This window comes from Homo sapiens, chromosome 14, assembly GCF_000001405.40.
Source record: "Homo sapiens chromosome 14, GRCh38.p14 Primary Assembly".
In the NCBI taxonomy this organism is placed as follows: domain Eukaryota; kingdom Metazoa; phylum Chordata; class Mammalia; order Primates; family Hominidae; genus Homo; species Homo sapiens.
The window spans coordinates 45109014-45135463 of NC_000014.9; the positions used below are offsets into that span (position 1 = coordinate 45109014).

Here is a 26450-nt window from a genome sequence, read left to right on the forward strand (position 1 = left end):
TAATCACCACCTCAAAAAATAACACCTTAACTTTTAGTTGTCACTACCCCTACCTCCTCAGCTGCGACCCTCTACCCCCAGTGCTAAGATACCACCAACTGCTTTTTGTTTCTGTAGATTTCCCTATAATGGCCTTTCATATGAATGGAATCTTAGAATATGGAATCATTTCACAGATATATGTATATACATTGTAGTCATCACAGCAATCAAGATACAGAACTCTTTTAGCACTCCAAAGGTCCCCTTGGCCCCTTTCCAGCCAGAGTTCCCCTCTCCACTCCTAGCACTAGGCAGCCATTGATCTGCTTTCTGTCACTATGGTTGTTCAATTTTAAAATATTCAACAAAGTATAAAATGTTCTGTACATTAAAAAGCATGTAATTGGCAAAATGGCAGAATAGAGAGAAAATGTATTATTTCATTTGTTTGTAAAGCTTAAGGAATTTAAGGGTTAATTTTAAAAGTTTTTTAAATTATGAAATATGATTAAAAATTTTAATCATCAATTATATTTAAAATTATTTGTATTAACACTGTACATGTGCATATTTTGGTGATATTGGTTTACTTTCATTGGCATGTTACAATTTCATTTCAGATTAAAAGACCTTACTTTCATGTGAAACCTTTGGAAAAGGCACAACTAAAAAACTGGAAAGAATACTTAGAATTTGAAATTGAAAATGGGACTCATGAACGAGTTGTGGTTCTCTTTGAAAGATGTGTCATATCATGTGCCCTCTATGAGGAGTTTTGGATTAAGGTAAGAAAATCATGTGCTCTTAAACTTGAATATATTATAAACATTGATCTAGTGACTAACCTTTTTTGTACTTCTGTTGAATGTTGTTCATATAACTATATCTGTTGCATTAGGAGATGGTCTGCTTGCAACCAGATTTGACTGCTGCATATGCCAACCTCGTTGCCTCTCTTCGTCCTTCCTTACAGAAACTAGTCTAGTGGTTCAATAAAGGTGCTGAATGGGTTTAAAAATAGAATTTTATCGTTCTGTCACAAATTTAATGGCTTGTTCAACTGTAAATTATTCAGTATTTCCTCTTTTCTGTATGTAGTATGCCAAGTACATGGAAAACCATAGCATTGAAGGAGTGAGGCATGTCTTCAGCAGAGCTTGTACTATACATCTCCCAAAGAAACCCATGGTGCATATGCTTTGGGCAGCTTTTGAGGAACAGCAGGGTAAGAGTGGAGAAATTCAGTTGACATTTTTGAGATTTTAAGTTATTTCAGGAAACAGTGACAAATTGAGTGGTAAGGGATGGTGTAAAGCAGAGTTTGGCAAACTTTTTCTCTAAAGGGCCAGATAGTAAAAGCCACGTGTTCTGACTTTCAGGCTTTGTAAGCCATTGTAGCCCCGAAACAGCCATAGGCAGTGTGTAAATATGCATGGCTGTTTCCCATTATTAGTTGCTGGATTTAGCCCATGGGTGATTGTTGCCAGTATCTGGTTATAAACGTTATTTTGGTTGTTTAAACCAAAGCATAAACATTTAATTACTGTTTCTAGGTAATATTAATGAAGCCAGGAATATCTTGAAAACATTTGAAGAATGTGTTCTAGGATTGGCAATGGTTCGTTTACGAAGAGTAAGTTTAGAACGACGGCATGGAAATCTGGAAGAAGCTGAACATTTGCTTCAGGATGCCATTAAGAATGCCAAATCAAATAATGAATCTTCATTTTATGCTGTCAAACTAGCCCGGCATCTTTTCAAAATACAGAAAAACCTTCCAAAATCAAGAAAGGTGCTTTTGGAAGCAATCGAAAGAGACAAAGTATGCATTTGTATTTTTAAGAGTATCTTCTATTAAAAAAACCAGTGGTCAGTGTATTTTCACTGTGGCAACTGTGATGAAAGATTTGGTCTGTATGTAATAGATTTTATTACTAAATGAGGACAACAGTCCCTCTAAACTGATGTTGCCATTTAAAAATTTTTTTCAAATTGTTTTGAATTAAAAGTTTTAGACATTAAGATTATTGGGTTAAAATTGTTGTAGACATTGTGATACTTTATATTTTCCCTTTAGAAATTATCAACAAATTTACTGATTACTAAGTAGAACAGAGGACTTGGGAGAATACTTCATAAACAAAAGCATAGGCGTTGCCTATGTTGTAAGCACATTTAGAAGTGAGATGATTTTGCTTCTCCATAGAGTACTTTTTATATTTTTTATATATCAATTGAAAAAGGCAGTGTATAGGTAATAGGTAATTTCTCAAGTTTTAGGATTTTAGTTATTGCCAGGTCTGTTTAAGATACAGATTTATAGCAGTTTGCTTCTAGCTGCAGTTTAAGATGTTTATCTTTTTTTTTTTGAGTCTGTCGCCTAAGCTGGAGTGCAGTGGTGCCATCTTGGCTCACTTCAACCTCTGCCTCCTGGGTTCAAGTGATTCTCCAGCCTCAGCCTCCCGAGTAGCTGGGATTACAGGCATGCATCACCGCGTCCGGCTGATTTTTGTATTTTTAGTAGACACAGTTTACTATGTTGGTCAGGCTGATCTTGAATTCCTGACCTCAGATGATTTGCCTGCCTCGGCCTCCCAAAGTGCTGGGATTACAGGCGTAAGCCACTGCACCTGGGCTTTTTTTTTTTTTTTTTTTTTTTTTTTGAGACAGAGTTTCATTGTCATTGAGGCTGGAGTGCAGTAGCGTGATCTCAGCTCACTGCAGCTTCCACCTCCTGGGTTCAAGCCATTCTCTTGCCTCAGGCTCCCAAGTAGCTGGGATTAAAGGTGTGCACCACCACGCCAGTTAATTTTTGTATTTTTAGTAGAGATGGGGTTTTACCATGTTGGCCAGGCTGGTCTCAAACTCCAGACCTCAAGTGATCCTCCTGCCTTGGCCTCCCAAAGTGGTGGGATTATAGGCATGAGCCACCACGCCCGGTTAAGATGTTTATCTATAGTTGTAGTAAAGATTTAAATTATTTGAAGCATAGAGATTTTTTTTTATGTTTTGTTTTCTAATTGTCATGGTAGGTCATGTCATACTAAATACAAGATAGGCTATAGAGTTTTAATTTACTGTCATTGAACAATTTGCATTGTTTAGGAGGTACTAGGATGATCAACTGATTGAAAAATTCATCAGTGTGTTAATGAATTTTTTCACCCCTTTAGATATATGCTGAAAACATTTAGCATGAGTTGTATTTTAATACAATTTTCAATATTTTTTCAAATTGAGACATAAAAACTAAGGCATTTTAAATATCTGTGCTCTAATAAAAATATTTTAGAAATATTCATTGATGCTGCTTTTTACACAGGAGAACACAAAGTTATACCTCAATTTACTTGAAATGGAATATAGTGGTGACCTCAAACAAAATGAAGAAAATATCCTAAATTGTTTTGACAAAGCTGTACATGGTTCATTACCTATTAAAATGAGAATTACATTTTCTCAGAGAAAAGTGGAATTTCTTGAAGATTTTGGTTCCGATGTTAATAAGTAAGATATTAGTTATATTACCTATTTGAATGATAAATGAGCATTGATATTTTTGTATGGGGATTTGATGATTAGTATAGATTAATACATTGTTAAATTTTAAAATGTTCGCTTAGTTTACTTTTTCCTCAGATATATATGGGGGTAAATTCAATTTTGTAAATGTATATGTACTTAACAGGAAGGCATAAGGTTTGTCTTTCCTTCAAAACTGTTTTCCCAATTTTAGAATGACAATTTAAACCATGACTGAATGAGAGAAGGCAGGAAGGAGCAATCCTGTGAAAAGGGAAATGGGATAAGGATTGAACCCTGAAACCCAAATATTTAATATATAGGTCAATAAAGATGGATGGGATTAATCTCCAGTAGGAGTGCTATTTTCTGAGATTGGAGAAGAGGATGGATATGGTCCCACAGAACATGCCTAGTGGCCTCATCTTCCTTCATTGTAAAAGCCGAAAGTTGAGGATGGTTGAAGAGAATGCTCCAGTGGATTTGGGAAAAGGACAAGTTTAAGATTAAATTTACTAAGAGTACAAATATTGGCTAGAGCATTGCTGAAGTTCCAGTCTTATCTGATTGTAGTAAGCAAATACACCAGTTCCTGTTAGGCATGTGCCTTTTATGATTATTCGCATTTAGATTTCTGTTGAAACCACTGTAGATAAACTGAGAATTAGTTGTGTCTGGGTGTTTGTATATGTGTGTATATATTTTTGATGGCTGTGTAAAATTTCAGTGCAACTAATATAACAGCTAATGTTTATATTAGTGTATTTTAATGTATTAATGTATATATTTGCGTGCTTGGCATGATGCCAAATGTTTTATATTAGCTATCTTGCAGAAAATTCATAGCAGTAGAATGAGGGTGTAGGGTTCTGTTCTCTTAATAGATGAGAGGATTAAACAGAGATTAGGCATTTTTTCTGAGGTCATGTAGCTATTATCACATTGTGGAGCGAGGACTGAACCTACTTCAGAGTTTCTGCTCTTAACTGCTTGTGTGCTGTGTATTTAGTGTCTTATGTTTACACTGAAGAAGGTACACAAAAGATGAGATATGTAATTCTAGCTTCTAGTCTGGTTGAATGATATGATTAACAGGAAGTAAGTGTATGAGGTAGCAAATAACTGCTAGGAGGGCTGTGATGTCTCTCGATCAGAATGGATTTGTCATGCTTCATAGAGGAGGTTGGGCTTCATTTAGTTATTACTGGATTCTGATAAACTGAGCAGAGGACACAGTGGCGGAAGCAAGTTGAATCTCATCTAAAAGTAACATCTGCTTGATTGGAGGTTTTTGTGAAGTAGTGGAAGCGTGATCTTGACTGTGTTGTGCATTGAAAGCTAGACTGAATTGATAGCACATGCAGTAGGTAGCTGACAGTAGTAAGCTATTGGAATTTTGACCAGTGATGTTAAATGACATTATTTTAATTTGGTAAAAACAGGCAGACAAATCGGAGATTCAACACAAGTGTCATTTAGTCCATTATAAGTATAGGGAATGGAGTGTCTGAGTATCAGGACTATGATTTTAGTAGTAGAAATTTTAAAAATAAAGGAGCCGCTTAGAAATTTTCTTAGGCAGTTTCCTAAGTAAAAACAACTTTAAATATTTAATAAAGTTTGTTTTTTGTATATTCCAGAGGATATTTTTTTCTTTCCTTTCAGGCTTCTGAATGCTTATGATGAACATCAAACACTCCTGAAAGAACAGGATTCTTTAAAAAGGAAAGCAGAAAATGGGTATGTCACTTTTTGCTAAGTCAAGAAGGCGTGCTTCATTATGGAAATGCCTTCAAAGACAAATGTTTTTAAGTGTTACTTTTATGTTGTAATTTACATACTTTATTTTCATGATTTGAAAAAGTCTTGAGTGATTCAGAACTTCAGTAAAACAAATATACAGATAACATTCATCTATTCGTTAAAGTTCTTACCTGTGGGAGTTTTGAAAGTTTCCATTCTGACGTTTTATATAGATCAGAAGAACCAGAGGAAAAGAAAGCACATACAGAAGATACAACTTCATCATCTACACAGATGATTGATGGTGATTTACAGGCAAACCAAGCTGTATATAATTATAGTGCGTGGTATCAAGTGAGTCTGCATAATTATAATTCTTTGTTCATAGATGTTATTAGCATAAATTAGGATAGTTTCTTTTTTTTTAAAAAAAGTTTTTGTTCCAATTGTGTAATACATTCTTTGGTGGTTAAGTACTAGAATTTTAGCAGTGAACACTTGCTTGTTTTCTTAAACATAGCTGCTTTAATTATACTTTTACATATGGAACTCTGCCACAGTTCTAATATGCTAACATACTTACTTTTTCCTTTCAGTACAATTATCAGAATCCTTGGAATTATGGACAATATTATCCTCCCCCTCCAACCTGATGGGAAAAATGTAAATTTCAAATGCAGTGTGTGAAAAGTATGAAATTATTATTTTTTTTAATGAGGGATGTAAACAGTATAAGCTTGTTGTATTTGATAACCTGTCTTCCTTGTTTCTGTGTAACATGATTTGTTTAGTAATAGGGGGAAAATGTCAATTAGTAGCTTACCACAGATACTGTTTCCTACCATTTATAAAATTTACTTTTTATTGAAAAACTATTTTTTGATTTTTGCATTAAGTGGTCTAGAATTCTTTTGCAATGCATTTGCAACAGAATTTTGTAGCCTTAAGGGGTAGGAAGAAAAACCTGACTGCAAATCATGTCAGTGTAGTACAAAATTCTGAAAACACATAAGGGCTGGTTATTTACCTCCTTTTTTTTTTTTTTTTTTAAAGAAAAAAGGACTTTTAACCTTTGCTGACAAGGTTTTGTCTGTTTCAGTTATACTTGTGAATTGTGATCTAACTGCAGAAAGGATACATTATTAAAATACTTTGCCTTGGAATAGATTATAAATGAGAAAATGGAATGTTTGCATCCCTTTAAAAATGAAAATCATATCAAAAGTATGTTGTTTCAGGAGACTTTGTATTTAGAATATTCATGTAAAACTTGTGAACAAGCTTTCATTTTGATCAAACTGATCTTCATTTTTGTAATAAAACGGAAGACTCATCCAGTAATTGTTTATGAATTTATTTTGGGGGGATCAATTAGTAATATTAACCTTATGTTCACCTTTATTAGTGGCTCATTGGTTTTGAAGTACACCTTTTCTAAATTCAGGTCTTGATCTTCCTGCCAAGATTTTTCTGCTTTTAGCATTTTGTTTCCCCTCAAGCCTTATGCTTTTGCCTTCTCATTATACAGGCAATCTGTCCAGATAATTTTACTGGGAGTTACTCCCTGGTTTGATGAGGTCCTTAGTTCCAATTCCCTAATCAGAACAATAATATATTAACACCAAACAAATCACAGTCAGATCAAGACAGTGGATCAATTTTTATTGAGCCACTTAAGTTTACAACATGAGGTAAAAGGAAAAAGTTCTCCTTGACCAGTATTTTACACAGCTGTAGGAAAGTATTTTAGACCAGGGATTCATAAGGGATTTATCTCTCAAAAGCTGGGACCAAGTAAACAAATTTTATTAACTCCTTGAATTTTCCAGTTGACTCTTCCTTTACAATAGTAACAAGTTCTAACTAGTTGTGTAAATTTCTTCAAGGCCAAGTTTTATCATTGTTGCTAATATCCTTAGAGCTGAAGCACTGCTATTTCAATCAATATCCACTAATTCCACTTCAAAAGTGAGTTTTGCATTTGGTGGAATTCTGTTGAAGAAGTCAAGGTACATTTGATAAAAAGTGCCTCTCCCCTACCCCCATAACCTTAGTGTAGGATAGGCTGACTAGATAGGCTCACTAGATAAATTGAGCTTGGACTAGGATCCTCCTTACCTGGATGCTTTACAAGTACTCCTAAATTAGCCACCACTTAATGAAGACTATTAAGTACTCCAAAACAAAAGTAATGTCATTCTAGCTGGGGGGGGGTGGAACAAAAAAAATATATATACATATAGAGAGAGAGTATTAAAGTTTTTATGAGGTAGTACATAATATTTACTGTGCATTTTAAGATGCTAAGTTCAAGGCCAGGTACGGTAGCTCACACCTGTAATCCCACCACTTTAGGAGGCTGAGGCAGGTGGATCACCTGAGGTCAGGAGTTTGTGACCAGCCTGGCCAACACAGTGAAACCCTGTCTCTACTAAAAATACAAAAATTAGCCAGGCGTAGTGGTGCGCACCTGTAGTTCCAGCTACCAGGGAGGGTGAGGCAGGAGAATTGCTTGAGCCCGGGAGGCAGAGGTTGCAGCAAGCTGAGATCACGCTGCTGCACTCCAGCCTGGGTGACAGAGCGAGACCCTGTCTCAAAAAAAAACCAAAACAAAATATGCTAACTTAAGAGTTATATAATTTATATGTGCATCAGATTGGTCTTGAGATGCTTCTTCACATGGGAGAGGGAGCTGCAGCTGACCATTTGATTTCCCCGCCCCCCCCACCGAGACAGAGCCTCACTCTTTCCTCCAGGCTGGAGTGCAGTGGCATGATCACAGCTCACTGCAACGTCTGCTTCCCAGGTTCAAGTGATTCTCCTGCCACAGCCTCCAGGGTAGCTGGGATTACAGGCCTGCAACACCACGCCTGGCTAATTTGTGTATTTTTAGTAGAGGTAGGGTTTCACCATGTTGGCCAGGCTGGTTTTGAACTCCTGACCTCAGGTGATCTGCCCTCCTTGGCCTCCCAAAGTGCTGGGATTACAGGCATTAGCCATGGTGCCCAGCCTGTTCATTTGATTTTGAAAAGCTAAGAGAGCTATTATATTCCCAAATATGTTTATCTGCTAAGACTACAGAAAGCTGCCTCCCAAAGGACTTGTTTTTTCAAACTTAATCTGATGGGTCCAAGAGGAATGGAACCAACAAAAGCCATAAACTTACCTTCCCTCTTACCTATTGGATTGGTCTGGTCTTAATGGTCTGGAGTCATTCCTTATTTTTTTTTTAAATGTTCACAAACTGGACTTATCAGTGAGTATTGTCATTAGTAGTAATAATAAATGCTTACACTAACACTGTTGATTCTGTGGTCTCCTTCAGTTCACAACTGGTAATCTCCCACATCTATTCCATTTCTAAGCTTTGAATTTAATTGCCTGAAATTATACTGTACCATAAAATTACCATGAGCCATATTTGCATCGTAGTTTGCTACAGTTTGTACTGGGCATGGTAACTTTTCTTAAACTCTTAAAAACATTAAGAATTGCTGTTTAAGCTTAAACTTCACAGTTAAGGTCTTGAAAGTTAAGAATTTGAATAAGAGAAACAAAAATTCTAGCTGAGGTTTGAACTTTATATCAATAGAAAATACTATTGCCTATTGGAGGTGCTGACACATAAGCATCTAAAGATCAGGAAGACTAGTCTGGACAGGATTCTTGATCCAGAAGTTTGCCTAGACAGCATCTTTCACATCCTCAAAGGTGATCTAGACGTTTTTTTTTTTTCAACTTTAATTATGAAGGGGAAAAAAGGATACTTGGCATCAGGCTGTCCTTTCTTTCCGTAAGCCCATTCTGGTTCAATCTCCAGTCGAGCCTTTTCTCCTTTACTCATAGTCAAGAGAGCTTCATCCCACTAAAGGCAAGAACAAAATAAAAACTAATGGTATTTTGCAAAAAGCACATGCAATACCAGGACAGTCAAGACAAGATTGTATGTTAAAACAAACACAGAATCTATTACTATAGATTTCACTATATTCTAAGATAATGTACTTCAGTGAGTCCCTAAATCTTTGTCTTCCATTTCTTCAATAGAAAAAAAAGGGTATTTTAAGCAGGGCTTTTTTAATGTGAAAAGAACCTTTTGGGGCTCATACCTATAATCCCAGCACTTTGGGAGGCCGAGGTGGGCAGATCACTTAAGGTCAGGAGTTTGAGACCAGCCTAGCTAACATAGTGAAACCCCATCTTCTACTAAAAATAAAAAAATTAGCTGGGTGCGGTGGTGGGTGCCTGTAATCCCAGCTACTCGGGAGGCTGAGGCAGGGGAATCACTTGAACCCAGAAGGTGGAGGTTGCAGTGAGCCAGGATTGAGCCACTGCACTCCAGTCTGGGCAACAGAGTGAGACTCCTTCTCAAACAAACAAACAAAAAACAAAAAAAAAACTTTTTGTAAACTGTAACATGCCATACATTATGAAAACCAGTTAGTTATTAGCACCATCATAAACCTGCAACACTTTTACATCACAGGACAAACGAGTTTATTTTTATTGGAATACACTGGCAAGTACTCACTGTAAAATTGTTTTAAGATTACCAGATTGTAATAGTGGAGTCACGTTGGCACATAAAATACATTTTTTTCTTTTTTTCTTTTGAGATGGAGTTTCGCTCTTGTTGCCCTGGCTGGAGTGCAATAGCGTGATCTTGGCTCACTGCAGCCTCTGCCTCCCGGGTTTAACCGATTCTCCTGCCTCAGCCTCCCTAGTAGTTGGGATTACAGGCATGCCCAGCTAATTTTGGAAATACAATTTTTAAAATGTTACGGCACTAAGATCTTTTGCAAAAGGTAAAACTAACTTTTCAAAGAAACAATAAAAGTCTTCTGGGTTGGCCTCTCCATATTTTCCAAATTTGGATCTTAAAGCTAGTTTCCACAAACAGTTAAATCCACATCACCAAAGGGATAATATTCCTAATATTATATGCTGTATTGAAATGCAACAATCATATAAAGCACAAGGGACAAAGTTAGGGTGGTCACATTTGGAAAATAAGAATATGGTAGACTAGCCGGGCAAGGTGGCTCGTGCCTGTAATCCCAGCACTTTGGGAGGCTGAAGATGAAGAGGGCGATCACTTGAGGTCAGCACTCAAGACCAGCCTGACCAACATGATGAAACCCCATCTCTACTAGGAATGCAAAATTAGGTGTGGTGGCGCATGCCTGTAATCCCAGCTATTCGGGAGGCTGAGGCAGGAGAATCGCTTGAACTCAGGAGACAGAGGTTGCAGTAAGCCGAGATTGCACCATTGTACTCCAGCCTGGACAACAAGAGCAAAACTCCGTCTCAAAAAAAAAGAATACGGTAGACTAGAAGAAATTTACCAGTATGCAAATAAGTTACAGAAATAGAAAAATGGCCCAATTTGATAATATACTTGCTATCAACTTGGTACGGGCAGGTAACAATTTTTTTTTTTTTTTTGAGATGGAGTCTTGCTCTGTTGCCCAGGCTGGAGTGCAGTGGCGTGATCTCAGCTCACTACAACCTCCACCTCCCAGGTTCAAGCAATTCTCCTGCCTCAGCCTCCCAAGTAGCTGGGACTACAGGCAAGTGCCACCATGCCCAGATAATTTTTTGTATTTTTAGTAGAGACGGGTTTCACAGTGTTAGCCAGTATGGTCTCGATCTCCTGACCGACCTTGTGATCCACCCACCTCGGCCTCCCAAATTGCTGCAATTACAGGCATGAGCCACCACGCCTGGCTGGGGCAGGTAACAATTATAAGTTATGCTCAACTAAACCTTTAGTTTTAAGATGTTTTATATTCTGTATATGATTGTCTGAACCATATCTTAGGACCTACTGATTGTACAGAGAGTAATATATTGAAGGTTCCTATAACTGCATTTAAATAGGCATTTCAGTTATTGATGTCTGATGTTCTGAGAATAACAATTTAAAACAAACAATGGGCACAATGGGCAGGCCTTAGCATGAAAACCTGATTCATAGAAGGTGACAGTCTGCCCTACTCTTTTATCTTCTTTTGTACAGTATAATGGTCAGTACGGGTCAAGCCTAACTTCCTCTTTTCTCAAAGTTTCTTTCTGTTATCTCTCACATATAAGTGTAGGTTAAAGCATGCTCATGTTTGAATGATTTTCTGGTATTGCAGCCTATGTTGTATGAGGTGAAAAGGCTGCAGAAACAAACTCTGCTTCTGTGAATACTTCAGTGGGACAGATATTTTACCTTTGCAAATTATATGTAAATGGTACAACAGTTATAAGACATTTTACAGGAACCTTAAATTTAGAGGGCCAAACATTCTGACAAAGACTTACTTTATGAAGAAAAATAATAAAATGGGTACACATGGAAGGGACTAATATTTAAGCCCCTACTGTATTAGGTACTTCAAGTTATGCTCATTTAATCTTCTAAAAACCTTGAGGTAGGCAGTACTGTCCTCATTTTATATGTAGCGAAACTGAGACCGAGATAACTTGTGCAAGATCAGCTAACAATGATTATACCCAATCTGTCAGACTCCAAAGTCTGTTTCCTTTGTATTATATCCCCAAACCTAATTCTTTACAGCACCATACCAGAAGCAGCATATGCCAGAATATCTACTGATTCATTGGCATTCTTTACTTACTCCTCTGATAACTTTGCCTACTCCGACCTTAAAACTTAAAGGCTTGGCATTTTTCTTCTTCTTTGCACCTGTAAAACAGATTTTCCTTATCATTAATGATATACTCTAATTTATTATTAAGAAATTTCCATTGGAAATTATTAAATTCCAGTGGAAAAATATAGTGGTTTGATTTCAGAATTACAATACTATGTATTTTAAAAGAAGGAAAAAATTTACAAAGATCATCCATCAATAAAATTCTGGCTGTAAAAATAATTACATTCTTAACAAAGGGTAGAGGGGTAGGACCTATACTTATATCACAAAACAGCATACTATCCTGCCTTTTCTATTCAAATACTAATGCCTTACTTTGGGACATTAACCAGGTTTAGACTGAGATTCCTTATCTTTTGCTTTCCAAAGAACAAGAGGTCTTTAGCCAGCCAATAATCAGTGAACTGAAGACCTCTTCCAAGTAGATCTTGGGGGAAAGTATGTCTGGATGAAAGTAGGTGACAGTCAGGAAAAAGGTACTGCTAACTACTCATCTGTCTGCCACCCAAGTATTTAGAATCTCTTTAAGCCAAAAACATAAGATTCCATTTAGACTTACTTGTTTGAATATTAGTATCAAAAACAGTCCCATCTTGTAGTGTTCCTGTATACCAGCAGTGAACAACATCTCCCTTTTTGGGAAAGTTGGTTTTATCTCCCTTTTTCAGAACAGATTTAGTATATTTTGGTGGACCCTAAAAACAAAAAACAACACACACACACAGAGTTATTAATTTGTGTCCTTTAAAAGAATGACAAACAATAGCCAACAATGACCAAAGTCAGTTTAAAGAGTTTGATGGATTTGGTAATAAATAAACAAACAAAACCCTCAGTATCTAATTTCAAGGCTGTGATGTGACTATTAGTAACTTACACATCTATAATTTAATTTCAAATAACTTCCAGCTTCTTTGGAAGCCTAAATTCTTCTAATAAGATTCTGTTAATAATTCACCAAACCATAACATGATTTCAGTTATTTCCTAAAGTTAAAAAAAATCATTACTATTTAATTCCTATGAAATCATAAGGCATTAAAATAAGGGATGGTGACTTCCCCCCCACAAAGATTTGAACTGTTTTAGCAGCAATAATTGATATTACTAGGTGTTTTTATAATAACCAATTAGAATGAATACAGTGATATTGCCTCTGTCCCCGATTTGGAAAATAAATTCACACAATGGATGAAATTACCTAAAGAAATTGCTATAACAGGCATATTTCCTAGAACAAAGTAGGATTATCAGGGTCTTCTACAAAAAAGGTTACATATTAATCTAATCAATAGCAATTCATATATGAGAGGAAAGCAGACAGAGGAACTGTCAAGAATCTTAGGGAGTTAATTAAAAAAAAGAAGAAGTGTACCGAATTTAAAAGTATCCTTACCTAAATCTATTTGGTTTCTGAATTCAGACCAAATTCAGAGGGATCTGCATTATCCAAATCTATATTTGGTTTCTAAATTTCATAAAATAAATAACAAAGGTGTGCTTGGATATCCAATAATTCATATCTATTAGTTCCTGAGTTTGAAAAGCAAGAGAAAAGTGTTTTCTTTATTCCTGACCTATTTCTTTTTTTTTCTGAGATGGAGTCTCACTCTGTCGCCAGGCTGGAGTGCAGCGGTGTGATCTCGGCTCACTGCAACAACCTCTGCCTCCTGGGTTCAAGTGATTCTCCTGCCTCAGTCTCCCGAGTAGCTGGGACTACAGGCGCCTGCCACCACGCCCAGCTCATTTTTTGGATTTTTAGTAGAGACACGGTTTCACCATGTTGGCCAGGATGGTCTCGAACTCCAGACCTCGTGATCCGCCCGCCTCGGCCTCCCAAAGTGTTGGGATTACAAGTGTGAGCCACCGCGCCTGGCCTATTCCTGATCTATTTCTAATTGGTCAAGTTATGCAAATTTTTATTCACTTTCATTTCCCTAGCTGAAGGTTTTATCCTTTTCCAAAACTTGTAAGTAAAAATATCTGTGCTGGGTGCGGTGGCTCACACCTGTAATCTCAGCACTTTGGGAGGCCAAGGTGGGTGGATCACTTGAGGTCAAGAGTTTGAGATCAGCCTGGCCAACATGGTAAAACCCCATCTCTATTAAAAATACAAAAATTAGGTGGATGTGGTGGCGTGTGCCTGTAATCCCAGCTACTCGGGAGGTAGAGTCAGGAGAATCACTTGAATCCAGGAGGCGGAGGTTGCAGTGAGCCAAGATGGCACCACTGGGCGACAGAGCAAGGCTCCATCTAAAAAAAAAAAAAAAAAAGTCTGATCTCCTTGCAAATAGTCTACCTCTTGGGCAAAAGATTCTCTCCCTGACCAAACCCTAGCTAGGGTCCTCTGAGACCTCTTCTTCACAAGCCTTCAACCTTGGACTATAAAGATTTGAACAAACACAAGTTTCAAATAGCTCAAGGCCTTATTCCTAGGAGGACCTGATCCCTCCTTAAAGTGTCCGCCTAAGAAAACTTAAGGCTGCCAAAAAAAATTTACTGTTTGTTCCAGCCAACGCCTCAAGATGAAGATAGGACCCCTGTCTCTGTCTCTGTGGGAGCCTGATTTTGATAAGCGCCAGTTGGCAAACTCAGATGGGTTTCATATGGACCAACCCCACTTCCTACTTTATGTAATTTTTCACTTCTCTAACTCTGCTTAAATCCCTCTCTACTCCTTTTTTTTTTTTTTTTTTTTTTTTTTTTTTCAGATGGAGTCTTGCTGTGTCACCTAGGCTGGAGTGCAGTGGCATGATCTCGGCTCATTGCAAGCTCTGCCTCCCGGGTTCACGCCATTCTCCCGCCTCAGCCTCCCAAAGTAGCTGGGAGTACAGGCGCCCGCCACCACACCCAGCTAATTTTTGTTTGTATTTTTAGTAGAGACGGGGTTTCACCATGTTAGCCAGGATGGTCTCCATCTCCTGACCTCGTGATCTGCCCGCCTCGGCCTCCCAAAGTGCTGGGATTACAAGCGTGAGCCACCAGGCCCAGCCCCCTCATTCTTTTAAAAGGCCCAGTTACCCCTCCACAAATCAGACTGGAGTTTAGCTCTTTCCCCTACTGTCAGTAGGCTGAATAAAATCTGTTTTCACCACTTTAATGTCCGATTGTGTTTATCTCTGACACCTTGAGTCAGTCCTCTACTCAACTGCTAGAGTGATATTAACAATTACTGCTTATAGTTTTGTGTCCAAAGGCCTAAACCATGCAGGATCTTAATCTATCCCTCCCTGAAGTTCCAGAATTCTATCAGCCTTTGAACTCTTGTCTTTTCCATGACCTTCTCAGTAGAGCAGGTGCATACAGCATAGAAATCTTTCAATCAGCTGGGCGCAGTTACTCACACCTGTAAACCCAGCACTTTGGGAGGCCCAGAAGGGTTGATCACCTGAGGTCAGGAGTTCGGGACCAACCTGGCCAACATGGTGAAACCCTCATCTCTACTAAAAATACAAAAATTAGCTGGGCATGGTGGCAGGCGCCTGAAATCCCAGCTATTTAGGGGGCTGAAGCAGGAGAATCACTTGAATCCAGGAGGCAGAGGTTGCAGTGAGCCAAAATTGTGCCACTGAATTCCAGCCTGGGTGACAAGAGTAAAACTCTGTCTTAAAAAAAAAATTATATATATATATTTTTTTTTCTTTTTTTAAGAGACAGGGTTTCAGTGTTGCTGAGGCTGGAGTGATCATACCACTGTAAAATACTGAGATATTTTACAGTAGTGTGATCACGGCTCACTTATAGGCTCTAGCAGTCCACCTGCCTCAGTCTCCCAAAGTGCTGGATTACAGGCAGGAGCCACTGTGCCTGCTTAATAATATTTCAAAAGTATAAAAATATTACTGTCTGTAAGGGAGCAATGAAAGGGAGAATGGCATGAAATACGGCTAGAAAAATACGTAGGACATGTTAGAATCTGGGTTTTTATCTTTAGGACATTAGCCAATTTAGAGTTTTAAATAAGAGAAGTTACAGAATCGGATCTGTGTTTATTTTATTTATTTATTTCTGAGACCGAGTCTCACTCTGTTGCCCAGGCTGGAGTGCAGTGGTGTGATCTCGGCTCACTGCAACCTCTGTTTCCCGAGTTCAAGCAATTCTCCTGCCTCAGCCTCCCCAGCAGCTGGGACTACAGGCATGAACCACCACACTTGGCTAATTTTTGTATTTTTAGTGCAGGTGGAGTTTCACATGTTGGCCAGGCTGGTCTCGAATTCCTGACCTCAGGTGATCTGCCTGCTTCAGCCTCCCAAAGTGTTGGGATTACAGGCGTGAGCCACAGTGCCCAGCCAGATTTGTGTTTTAAATAGATCACTGTGACTGAAATATAAAAAATGACTTGGGAAGCAAAAGTAGAAGTGGAGAGACTTGTTAGGAAAAAAGTTACTATAGTAGTTTAGGTTTAGACCAGGGTGCTAACAGTGAGGATGACAAAACATGAATGGCTTTGGGATATATTTTGGAGGCAGAATCACCAGAAGTTGGTAATAACTACATATGAAGCAGTTATCAAAGATGAAGTTATCAAATTTTTCGTTTGAGTACTTTTATACTGACTTCTAATTGCTAAGTGTGAGTTTCTGTCGTAACTTATATTTTCTTTCCTGTACAATACTCATTCATACCATGAAAATTTTCCTCAATGCTATTTAATATATAATAGACAATAAATATATTGACAATGACTGATTTAAAATCCCATAAGAGCTATTAGACAAGTCTTTATATTAAAATAAAGGTAGAAATAAATAATACAAATGTGCTTAGGAATGTATGCAGTTGTGTATGTATACAGCAAAGTCTCACATGGTAAAAATTCCAGAGGAAGCAATGAGCCCAGGAGCTGGGTCTTAAAGGGAGCACAGAAGTGACAAATAGGGATAGTAAAAGGACACTCTAAGGAAGAAATAAAATATGGAGGTAGGAAAGGGCATGATGTAGTAGACAATGAGCAGACATTTGTGGTCAAAGAAAAAAAATTTTTTTTTTTTTTGAGACAAGGTCTTACTCTGCCACCTAGGCAGTGCAGTGGCACACAATCTTGTCTCACTACAATCTCTGGCTCCCAGGCTCAAAGGATCCTCCCTGCTCAGCCTCCTGAGTAGTTGGGACTACAGGCACACACCACCACGCCTGGCTACTTTTTTGGTAGAGACAGGTTTCGCCATGTTGCCCAGGCTGGTCTTGAACTCCTGGGCTCAAGTGATCCACCTTCCTTGGCCTCCCAAAGTGCTGGGATAATAGGCGTGAGCCACTGCACCTGGCCAATAACATGTCTATACAGGCCGGGCACAGTGGCTCACGCCTGTAATCCCAGCACTTTGGGAGGCCGAGGTGGGTGGATCACGAGGTCAGGAATTCGACAATAGCCTGACCAACATGGTGAAACCCTGTCTCTACTAAAAATACAAAAATTAACCGGGCGTTGTGGTGTGCGCCTGTAATCCCAGCTACTCAGGAGGCTAAGGCAGGAGAACTGCTTGAACCCGGGAGGCGGAGGTTGCAGTGAGCCGAGATCACACCACTGCATTCCAGCCTAGGCAACAGAGCGTGACCCCGTCTCAAAAAACAAAGAAAAAAAAAGAATACGTCTATAGAAACATGGAATATGGAGCTTAGCAGCAGCCACATTTTGGAAGTTTTGAATGCCAAGAATAAGAAATTTGGATATATATTGAAGACCAGTGGTGACCAATAAAAATGGGAGTCACAAATGTAATTTTGAGTTGTCTAATAGCTGCACTTAAAAATGTAAAAAGAAAGAGATGAAGTATGTCTATGCCAGGCAGTGGTATGCCTGTAGTCCCAGTTATTCTGAGTATTCTGAGGCAGGAGGATCACTGGAGCCCACGAGTTTGAGTCCAGCCTGGGCAACACAGCATGACCCTGTCTCTTTTTTTCTTTTTTTTGAGACTGAGTCTCCTTCTATTGCCCAGGCTGGAGTGCAGTGGCGCAATCTTGGCTCCCTGCAACCTCTGCCTCCTGGGTTCAAGTGATTCTCCTGCCTCAGTCTCCCATGTGGCTGGAATTACAGATGCATGCCACCATGCCCAGCTAATTTTTGTATTTTTAGTAGAGACGGGGTTTCACCATGTTGGTCTCAAACTCCTGACCTCAAGTGATCTGCTCCTCTTGGCCTCCCAAAGTGCTGGGATTACAGGCACCAGCCACTGTACCTGACTGACCCTGTCTTTTTTTTTTTTTTTGAGACAGAGTTTCACTCTTGTTGCCCAGGCTGGAGTACAATGGTGCGATCTCAGCTCACTGCAACCTCCGCCTCTGGGGTTCAGGCGATTCTCCCACCTCAACCTTCCGAGTAGCTGGGATTACAGGTGTGCACCACCACATCTGGCTAATTTTTTGTATTTTTAGTAGAGACAGGGTTTAACCATGTTGGCCAGGCTGGTCTCGAACTCCCAACCTCAGGTGATCCGCCTGCCTCGGCCTCCCAAAGTGCTGGGATTACAGGCATGAGCCACCATGCCTGGCCTCCCAACCGACCCTGTCTTAAAAAAATAAAATAAAAAATTTTTAAATGAAAAATTTTCTTATTTAAACTAAAACATCCCAAATACCATCATTTCAATAAGTAATCAATATAAAAAATACTGAGATATTTTACATTCTTTTTTAAAAAAGAAACGTCTAAATTACACCTTTGAAACTGAGTATATATTTTATTCTTAAAGCACATTTCAGTTCAAAGTAGCTAAAGCACTCTGTAGCCACATATTGTTAGTAACTACCATACTGAACGGGGCAATTCTAGACAACACTCAATTACTGAAGATTTTTCAGCAGGGTGTGGTTTGCAAAGTATTGTTTTAGAAATCTTATTAGAATACCCATTTTGTTGCTGACTGGATAAAGAAAGAGAAGGGAGGCAAGAAATGAACAACGTTTTTAACATTCTGGGTATGAGGCCTTGCTTCGAATGCTTGAAAATGGAAAAGGAATGAACGTTTAAAATAAAAGGAAGATGTTTGAGAGCATTAGTCCTGAAGGAGACATGAGAAAGAAAAAGGGACGCAAAGATTCAGAGAAATTTTAAGCTCAGAAGAAGGGAATGGCAATGGCTAGACATTCACATTTTGGCACTACAGAACACAGGAGCATATAATGAGAAGGGAGTCCAGGGGCAGTGGCTCACGCCTGTAATCCCAACACTTTGGAAGGCCTAGGTGGGCGGATAACTTGAGGTCAGGAGTTCAAGACCAGCCCAGCCAACATGGAGAAACTGCGTCTCTATTAAAAATACAAAAATCAGCTGGGCATGGTGGCGCCTGCCTGGAGTCCCAGCTACTGGGGAGGCTGAGGCAGGAGAATCACTTGAACCCAGGAGGGGGAGGTTGCTGTGAACCAAGATGGCACCACTGCACTCCAGCCTGGGTGAGACTTTGTCTCAAAGACAAAAACAAAAACAAAAAAAGAGAAAGGAGTAAGAAGGGACTGAGAATTTGTGAGAAAATGTCAAATACTTTATGTGAGCAATGAGCAATGTGATGGAGAACTGGGCAAAGGATAGTATAAATGTTGTTGAGTAGCAATGAAACTAGAAAACATGCTTGGCTAATATTAAGCATGAATTTATACCAGGCTCAATAAAAGGTTTTATGATTATATGTTTATAATGCCTGCTCTCCAGTCCCAAAGCATGAAGACAGAGAGTAGACAACGAGGGTTAGCAAGGAAATGGACAAGAGGCTTTTGAATGTAGGACGCTAGGAAAACAGTCACAGTACATAAATGGGCTCAAGCTGGCCAGTTAAACGAAGAGGTTTTAAATAAAATGATAGAGTTTAGGACCCTCATAAGCTTGCTCTAGATTGTCTCTAGCTCTTATGAATTTACCTTTTATTTTCTTAACTCCTTAATGAAATATTATCTGTCTCCTAAAACCATCCTCATTCTAATTTCCTGGAGGGTGAACTATGTTGCCAGTTGCTTCTGAAACCCTTCAATAATAATTGCTCCATTTACCTTAGTAGCTACTCAATAGATATAACATTTATTAAATATTAATTGTGATAAACTTTAAAACTGCTTTGTGTGCACATATACCTATAAACATTAATTTGTGCTTTTTAGCCAATAGGAAAAGATCATGCAAAATTAACTAGCTTTAATCAAATAAACATCTATAATTGTATAACTGAACTTACACTTTCCACAAATACCCAAAAGCTACACTGTCATCAATAGCCTCACCTCTTTACAAGAACTAAAAATAGATTATTATCACTGATACTAAGACTGCTGGCAATGAGTGAGCTTAGATAGTAAGGTATTATCAGAAATGACAAGATTATAATCAATTCAGCTCTGCTAAGTCAGTTCTTAGTAGCTGATCTTAGCTCTACTAAGGCTGTCAATTTGCAGGAATGAATTAATCTGGTTCTTCAAACCTTTGTACCAAAGTATAAAACCTGAGTTGGGAAAACTGAGACAGATGAACCCACATCCTGCAGCCAAGCCTGGATTATTTCTATTGCCAGGGACACCATGTACATTAGAAAAAGCTAAAAATAATCAAAAGAAAATGTATTTCACTTAGTCCAACTTGGCTATAGAATCAAGGCCTTAAAATAGCTTTGAAAGCTCAGAAGGTCTGGACAGATGTGGAGGCGATATTAAATACAATATCAGAAGTGTTTCACAGAATAGGCTAATAACTGTAAAGCACTAGTTCTTAGGATTATTTCTGTCCCAGTACACCTAAGGGAAATGGCCCACTACATTAAGTGTTTGGCTCATTGAAAGTGGTCGTATTCAACCACCCTTCACTATGAGAAGTTAGTGCAAATAATAAAGAAATAAATACAATTTCTAGACTCCACATGATAAAATAAAAAAATAATTATATACAGACCTCATCCAGGGTCTCTTCAGACTTGGTTTCTTTGGGTTTATCTTCATTAAGCTTCACATTTTTTACTTGCTCAGACACTTTACTTATACTTTCAGTACCCTTAAAACGCTGTAAGGAAAATGTTGTAACATCATACCCAGGACAGGCTAAAACCAAGAAGCAACATCAAGATTTTCAGCCTCTCAATTAAATGAACATCTGCATAATAAATATAGGTTGTATAACACAATTGTGAATAAATGGTCTAAGGAAACGAAGAGCAAAGAAAGAATTTTGCTCATAATTTATTTTTAAACAATAAATGATTACCCTCAAACCAGCTTACAATATAAATTCTGAAATGAGAACCATGACCTTAGAAAGGCCAACTCATACCCAGAGATATAAGCACTATTCAAATAACTCCTAAATAAAGATTTCTTTCCTGTGGAAGATATTCATTTCATAGTAAACAAATGTGGGAGAATGTCTTAAAATGTATTTTTGTAAAGCTCAGCCTAAATCTAAACCAGACTTTAAATTCATTAGTGAAATGGAAACTTATTTTCAATATAACATTTAACATATATAATAAAACAACAACAAAATACATTTAATATACACCATATGCTAAAGTAATACGGTAATACCACTGACCTAATGAATTTATAACTTCAGTGGACTTAAGAATTTGTTGTCTCAATTTAAGCTACAAAATCCAGACCCTTTGAAAATACTGAAACATTCTGCCATACTGCAGATTAGCCTTGCTAGATTTGACAGCTAGTCCACTTATGATAACAGTTCAGAAAAATTACAGGTGGAAAAGCTCCAACACATTCAACAAATCAATGCATTTTAAACATCTTTTTTGGAAATAAAATTTCAAAAGTGATGTTCTGCTAACAGAATCTAACAATACTCACCTTAGTTTCAAAAAGATGGTTATAGGCTGTAACCAAGTGGTCCTTGTTAGCTGTCTTGGCCACATTTTTAATGTTTCCTAATAATTTATGTTCTGCAAGAAACTATAAGGAAAAAAGCTGGGTAATCAAGATAACTTCTCCCGAGTAAGAAGTGTCTAAAATTAGAAAACGATCCTTTTATGTTAGCAGTTGTGTTTTCAGTAGTACTAGTACTGAAGAAGAAATAAAGCCTATAGTTTATACTCTTTGTTACAAAAAAAGTAAGAGATTTTTTAAAAATTCGGTATTTACAAGAATTAGTGACAAGACTGCAACTGTAGTGTTATGTACTGAACACAGTGTTTCATCCTAAACTTTTTCCTGTCAACACTCACAAAAAATAACATTTATACAGCAAGCACACTGTGGTGACTTGAGTCAGCTGCTCACTGCAGGAGGATACTTGGGTGCAGCCCTTGAGAGCCTCCAGCCAGGTTGGACATAGCTATCCTGAGGCATTTGTAACCCATTCTTAGCCGACTAGGAAGAGTCACTGTTACACAAGCATGTAACATACATATGTTGAGATTGCTATGCTTAACATTATATATATAATTGCTAAGTATATGGGCTGTGGAGTCATATTATCTAGGTTAAAATCCTAGCTGTGTGGGCCGGGCGCGGTGGCTCATGCCTGTAATCTCAGCATTTTGGGAGGCTGAGGCAGGCGGATCACCTGAGGTCAGGAGTTTGAGACCAGCCTGGCCAACGTGACAAAACCCCATCTCTACTAAAAATACAAAATTTAGCTGGCCATGGTGGCGCATGCCTGTAGTCCCAGCTCGGGAGGCTGAAGCAGGAGAATGGCGTGAACCTGGGAGGTGGAGGTTGCAGTGAGCCGAGATCGCACCACTGCATTCCAGCCTAGGTGACAGAGCAAGACTCTGTCTCAAAAAAAAAAAAAAAAAAAAAAAAATCCTAGCTGTCTGACACTAGACAGGGGACTAAGCTTGTCTAAAGACTCAGCCTCCATATCTGTAGTGGAAGATTAATAACAGCGTCTACGTCAAAGAGTTGATATAAGGATAAAATGCAAAAATCCATTTAATGCATTTAGCATAGAGCCTGTCACACAGTAAGAACTTAATAAATATTGGGATTATGATTAATACTGTATTTAATAACTCAAGGTAACAGCGGAATTGCTTTTCTTTCAAATATAAGACTGCTAAGATGGCAGATGGACACTAAAATACTACTGCTGAAATAGCAAGTCGTAGTATAACTTTATCTGAAAATCACGTAATTGTGAGGATTTCCATAACTTCTTTGTTTCCTTATTTTATTCTGCTTCTTTTTCTGCCTTGTGGTCCTTGCTTAATTCCTAATTTTGTTACATTCTCAAAGTTGTCCTTTGGCATCTTCTAAGCTTTTGATAAAGCAGTTAACATTATTAGCAGTTAACAGCTAACACTATCACTATTGTATTTTTTTCTTTTGCTTTTTCTTTCAAAGATATGTTCTAAATAACAGCTGATGGGGAAAGGAGACAAAGTTGACTAAACGGAAGTAATCAGTTACCTTTAGCATGCTGGTGGTTTCTTGTTAAAGATTCCAGAAAATACCCAAAGCATAAAAGCATAAACATCTCTTTGATATCTTATGATTAATAAAATAATTATTGTCAAGTATAGGTCTAAGTGTTAATGATCACCGGAGATTATTATTATTAATTTTTGAGACAGAGTCTAGCTCTGTCGCCCAGGCTGGAGTGCAGTGGCCCAATCTCGGCCCACTGCAACCTCCCCCTCTTGGGTTGAAACGATTCTCCTGCCTCAGCCTCCCGAACAGCTGGGATTAGAGGCGCCCACCACCAGGCCCAGCTAATTTTTTTTGTATTTTTAGTAGAAATGAGGTTTCGCTACGTTGGCCAGGCTGGTCCTCAATGCCTGGCCTCAACTGTTAGTCAGGATGGTCTCGATCTCCTGACCTCGTGATCCGCCCGCTTTGGCCTCCGAAAGTGCTAGGATTACAGGAATGAGCCACCACGACCGACCGAGACTATGCATTTAAAAGATTAATGTTATAAAAACATTTTGATAATCCAAGTCTGTTGAAATTCTTCCACGTGGCCCAGTTTTACATACGATTCCACATGGCATGATTTGTTTCATAAGAATATGATGGATGAAGTACATGACTGAGGTATTATTAAATGTTAATGATGTCTATTCTATTGTTTCAGATGAAATACGAATTGGCTTAAGAGAAAATAGTTCCATTAAAATGGGGTAAGATCCCCGACACATGTTCTTTTTCACCCTTGTACCTCCAAACACTGAGAATAGTTCTTGTTACAGATGTTGTATTAATATCTGCTAAATTAATCTAAGATGCGGATGCCAGGATAATAATTAAGGAAGAAGGCACTGGAAGTTGGAGAGTTCTTCTATCTCCCTGTCATGACGCCCGCCCAAAATGAAAATAAAATATAAGCTTCTCAAAATAACCCAGAAATAGTGGCTCACGCCTGTAATCCCAGCACTTTGGGAGGCCGAGGCGGGCGGATCACGAGGTCAGGAGATCGAGACCATCCTGACTAACACGGTGAAATCCCGTCTCTATTAAAAATACAAAAAATTAACCTGGCGTGGTGGCACGCGCCTGTAGTCCTAGCTACTCGAGAGGCAGAGGCAGGAGAATCGTTTGAACCCGGGAGGCGGAGGTTGCAGTGAGCCGAGATCGCGCCACTGCACTCCAGCCTGGGCAACAGAGAGAGACTCCGTCTCAAACAAACAAACAAAAAAACCCAGAAACAGTTTTTCTAAATGAAAAGTTTAGAATTTTAAAAATTGTATAGAAAACACAAGCAGGCTGCCGCTTGTAAGAGAATGCTGCGTGCACAACTATTTCAGCAATTTAACAGGTGCATGAATGAACTTATTTTCCAAAGGAAAAACAAGTGTAACAAAAATAACTTGACTATAGACGGATGGTTAAGATGGAGACTATGCTGACAAATGGAGAGCCTACAGTATAAAGCATTTCAAATAAATTTCTTAGTCTGTTTATAACAATGACAGACCACTGCACAAGAGAAATGTGCATGTAGCTCCCTTAAAGTATAAAGGTGAAAAGGTCATTTAAAGGGTCGATATGTTAAATCAAAACTTAAACCACAACCTACGGATTTTTTAAAAATCACACGCATTAATGTTCAGTATTTAGTAAACTGTTGAGAAAAGCAAGTTGGATACACCGTTCCCACAGAAATCTTCACATCCCTTCCCATTTCCCTAGTAGCCGGCGCCCCGCTCCCAGGAGTCTCATCCACACCACTATTCCTCGGCCTCTCCGCCCTAGCCCCCAATATCCTCGGGTTCCTATTTTTCTGGCCTCCACCCCCACTCAAGGATCCCAATGAGGTTCTAACTCTACAATTGCAGCCTGTGTGCCCCAAGAAATAAAGCTGCTCCCCTGCCCCAGTAGAGAACGCCCGAGAGGCGGGAGCGAGGCACCAAAGCACAAGCTGGGCCTCTCCGGCCTTCCAGGCCACCGGCCGCGGGAAGACGAGGGCGGGGGCACAGAGGAATACGGAATGTATGGGCATCTCCAGGGGGGTGAGGCGTCCCTCAGCCGCACCAGCCCGGCCGCCCCTACGCCTCTGGTACCGAATCTGAACCGTGTTCCTGCAGAAACTTGATAATGTCCTTCTTGGGCAGCTGCTCACTGCGCAGCTGCTCCACGGTCCACGCCCGCTGTGGAACGGCCGCCGCCATCTTCCCCCGCTGCCTCCGCTTTACTGAGCCAGCCCGCCGCAGTTCGGCATCGCCCCGCCCCCTAGGGCGGGGCGGGGCCACTCACGGAGGTCGAGGGGCGGGCCTCTGCTCTAGCAGTCGGGATTGGGGCCTGTCTTTGAGTGACGTCAAGGCTGTGCTATGAGGGCTTCTTTGTTGAGTCCGGGTTGAAAAACCTACCGCGGTCGTCTCTGCAGTCGACTGAGTAGAAGACCGCTAGAGATCTTCGATTCTGAATTAGACACCTTGTGAAGCGACCTCTGATGGTAGCGACATTTATCAACCATTACCCACATTTAAGGCAGCTATGCCTTTAAAGTCCAGTCTATAACCTGTTAAAAGAAAACAGCATTCAGGCTCCTTATCTCGTTTTATCTAGTTCTAGCCTAAAAAGTCACACCTGAAGTGCTTCAGTCCTTGTCGATCCGAAAACCCATATCCCACCATTTCCCTTTTAAAGATCACACAACCGAAACTTAAATACAAACTGCCCATCCCCTTCCCCCCATACAAATACGAGAAAGTTTGTCCAAAACGAAGTTCAGAAACTTTAACAAATAAAACAATTTATAAAGAAGCCGCACTCAGGATGCCACTTGCTGATGAGAATGACATTATTAATGCTCGTAACTCTGTGATGTATATTTTTTTCTCAGTACACGAGGAAACAAATTTACAGAGGTTACTCAAAGTCAGGTTTAGAGAGAAGTCAGGAATTATTTGAGACAGAAATCTTCGTTAGAGTGGAATAATTGCACACCGACGTTTATTATAATGCTCTTACCTATAATAAAGATTTAATAGTTGAACATCAGGACTCCTTACTTAAAAAAATGTAGGCTGACTCTGGGCATGTTGCCTATGAGTTAGCTCTGCTTTGCAAGGAGCATTAAAAAAAAAAATTCTGACGAATAGCTGGACCAGACCACGTTCACTTCCCTTTAAACAATGAAAATATTAAAATAATGGGTTGCCACTCCCAGCGCGGT

The 26450-nt window shown here is 39.1% G+C and overlaps 2 protein-coding genes and 1 non-coding gene across 4 annotated transcripts in view, besides 5 other annotated features; 2 read left to right on the forward strand and 1 right to left on the reverse strand.

Moving 5' to 3' along the window:
• PRPF39 (pre-mRNA processing factor 39) overlaps nucleotides 1-7269 on the forward strand; it is a 32167-nt gene extending 24898 nt beyond the window's left edge. The window contains exons 8-14 of the mRNA NM_017922.4: nucleotides 603-767; nucleotides 1081-1207; nucleotides 1536-1804; nucleotides 3305-3489; nucleotides 5170-5244; nucleotides 5481-5601; nucleotides 5844-7269. Coding sequence (NP_060392.3) covers nucleotides 603-767; nucleotides 1081-1207; nucleotides 1536-1804; nucleotides 3305-3489; nucleotides 5170-5244; nucleotides 5481-5601; nucleotides 5844-5900 — 999 coding nt within the window. The 3' untranslated portion in view covers nucleotides 5901-7269. The remainder of the gene's footprint in view (nucleotides 1-602; nucleotides 768-1080; nucleotides 1208-1535; nucleotides 1805-3304; nucleotides 3490-5169; nucleotides 5245-5480; nucleotides 5602-5843) is intronic.
• On the forward strand, nucleotides 1862-1962 carry SNORD127 (small nucleolar RNA, C/D box 127). The gene has a single exon (NR_003691.1). It is a non-coding gene; the product is annotated as a small nucleolar RNA, C/D box 127 (small nucleolar RNA).
• Nucleotides 6586-25468, reverse strand: FKBP3 (FKBP prolyl isomerase 3). 2 transcript variants are annotated; one of them, NM_002013.4, is made up of 7 exons: nucleotides 25336-25468; nucleotides 21686-21787; nucleotides 20781-20888; nucleotides 12472-12607; nucleotides 11874-11941; nucleotides 9015-9112; nucleotides 6586-7239 (listed from the first exon to the last, which is right to left on the reverse strand). In NM_002013.4, exons 1-7 carry the CDS (start codon nucleotides 25441-25443, stop codon nucleotides 7185-7187), a joined length of 675 nt encoding a protein of 224 aa, NP_002004.1. In that variant the 5' UTR covers nucleotides 25444-25468; the 3' UTR covers nucleotides 6586-7184. The 2 variants fall into 2 exon arrangements, with proteins under 2 accessions (NP_002004.1, XP_011534867.1); XM_011536565.4 differs by lacking the exon at nucleotides 25336-25468 and adding an exon at nucleotides 23246-25241.
• Nucleotides 24666-25537: an enhancer, noted in NCBI's record as "NANOG-H3K27ac-H3K4me1 hESC enhancer chr14:45602882-45603753 (GRCh37/hg19 assembly coordinates)". NCBI's record gives its function as "activates a minimal SCP1, AML or CMV promoter by ChIP-STARR-seq in primed H9 embryonic stem cells {active_cell/tissue: H9 hESC(primed)}" and the evidence as "EXISTENCE:reporter gene assay evidence [ECO:0000049][PMID:30033119]".
• Nucleotides 24666-26408: a biological region, named in NCBI's record as "NANOG-H3K27ac-H3K4me1 hESC enhancers GRCh37_chr14:45602882-45603753 and GRCh37_chr14:45603754-45604624".
• Nucleotides 25225-25444: an enhancer, noted in NCBI's record as "active region_8298". NCBI's record gives its function as "activates an Ori minimal core promoter by ATAC-STARR-seq in GM12878 lymphoblastoid cells {active_cell/tissue: GM12878}" and the evidence as "EXISTENCE:reporter gene assay evidence [ECO:0000049][PMID:35858748]".
• Nucleotides 25414-25591: a silencer, noted in NCBI's record as "fragment chr14:45603630-45603807 (GRCh37/hg19 assembly coordinates)". NCBI's record gives its function as "represses an EF-1alpha promoter that drives an FKBP-Casp9 reporter gene in an ReSE screen in K562 erythroleukemia cells {active_cell/tissue: K562}" and the evidence as "EXISTENCE:reporter gene assay evidence [ECO:0000049][PMID:32094911]".
• Nucleotides 25538-26408: an enhancer, noted in NCBI's record as "NANOG-H3K27ac-H3K4me1 hESC enhancer chr14:45603754-45604624 (GRCh37/hg19 assembly coordinates)". NCBI's record gives its function as "activates a minimal SCP1, AML or CMV promoter by ChIP-STARR-seq in primed H9 embryonic stem cells {active_cell/tissue: H9 hESC(primed)}" and the evidence as "EXISTENCE:reporter gene assay evidence [ECO:0000049][PMID:30033119]".

What these genes read in the sequence shown, in the direction of transcription:
- FKBP3 (NM_002013.4), bottom strand. Translation starts at nt 25,443, where the DNA reads ATGGCGGCGGCCGTTCCACAGCGGGCGTGGACCGTGGAGCAGCTGCGC. An exon ending in ACCATCTTTTTGAAACTAAG is followed by an intron (nt 20,889 to 21,685) that starts GTGAGTATTGTT and finishes TTTTCCTTACAG; the next exon opens with CGTTTTAAGGGTACTGAAAG. An exon ending in TAGGCAAAGTTATCAGAGGA is followed by an intron (nt 9,113 to 11,873) that starts GTAAGTAAAGAA and finishes TCTTGCCTTTAG; the next exon opens with TGGGATGAAGCTCTCTTGAC.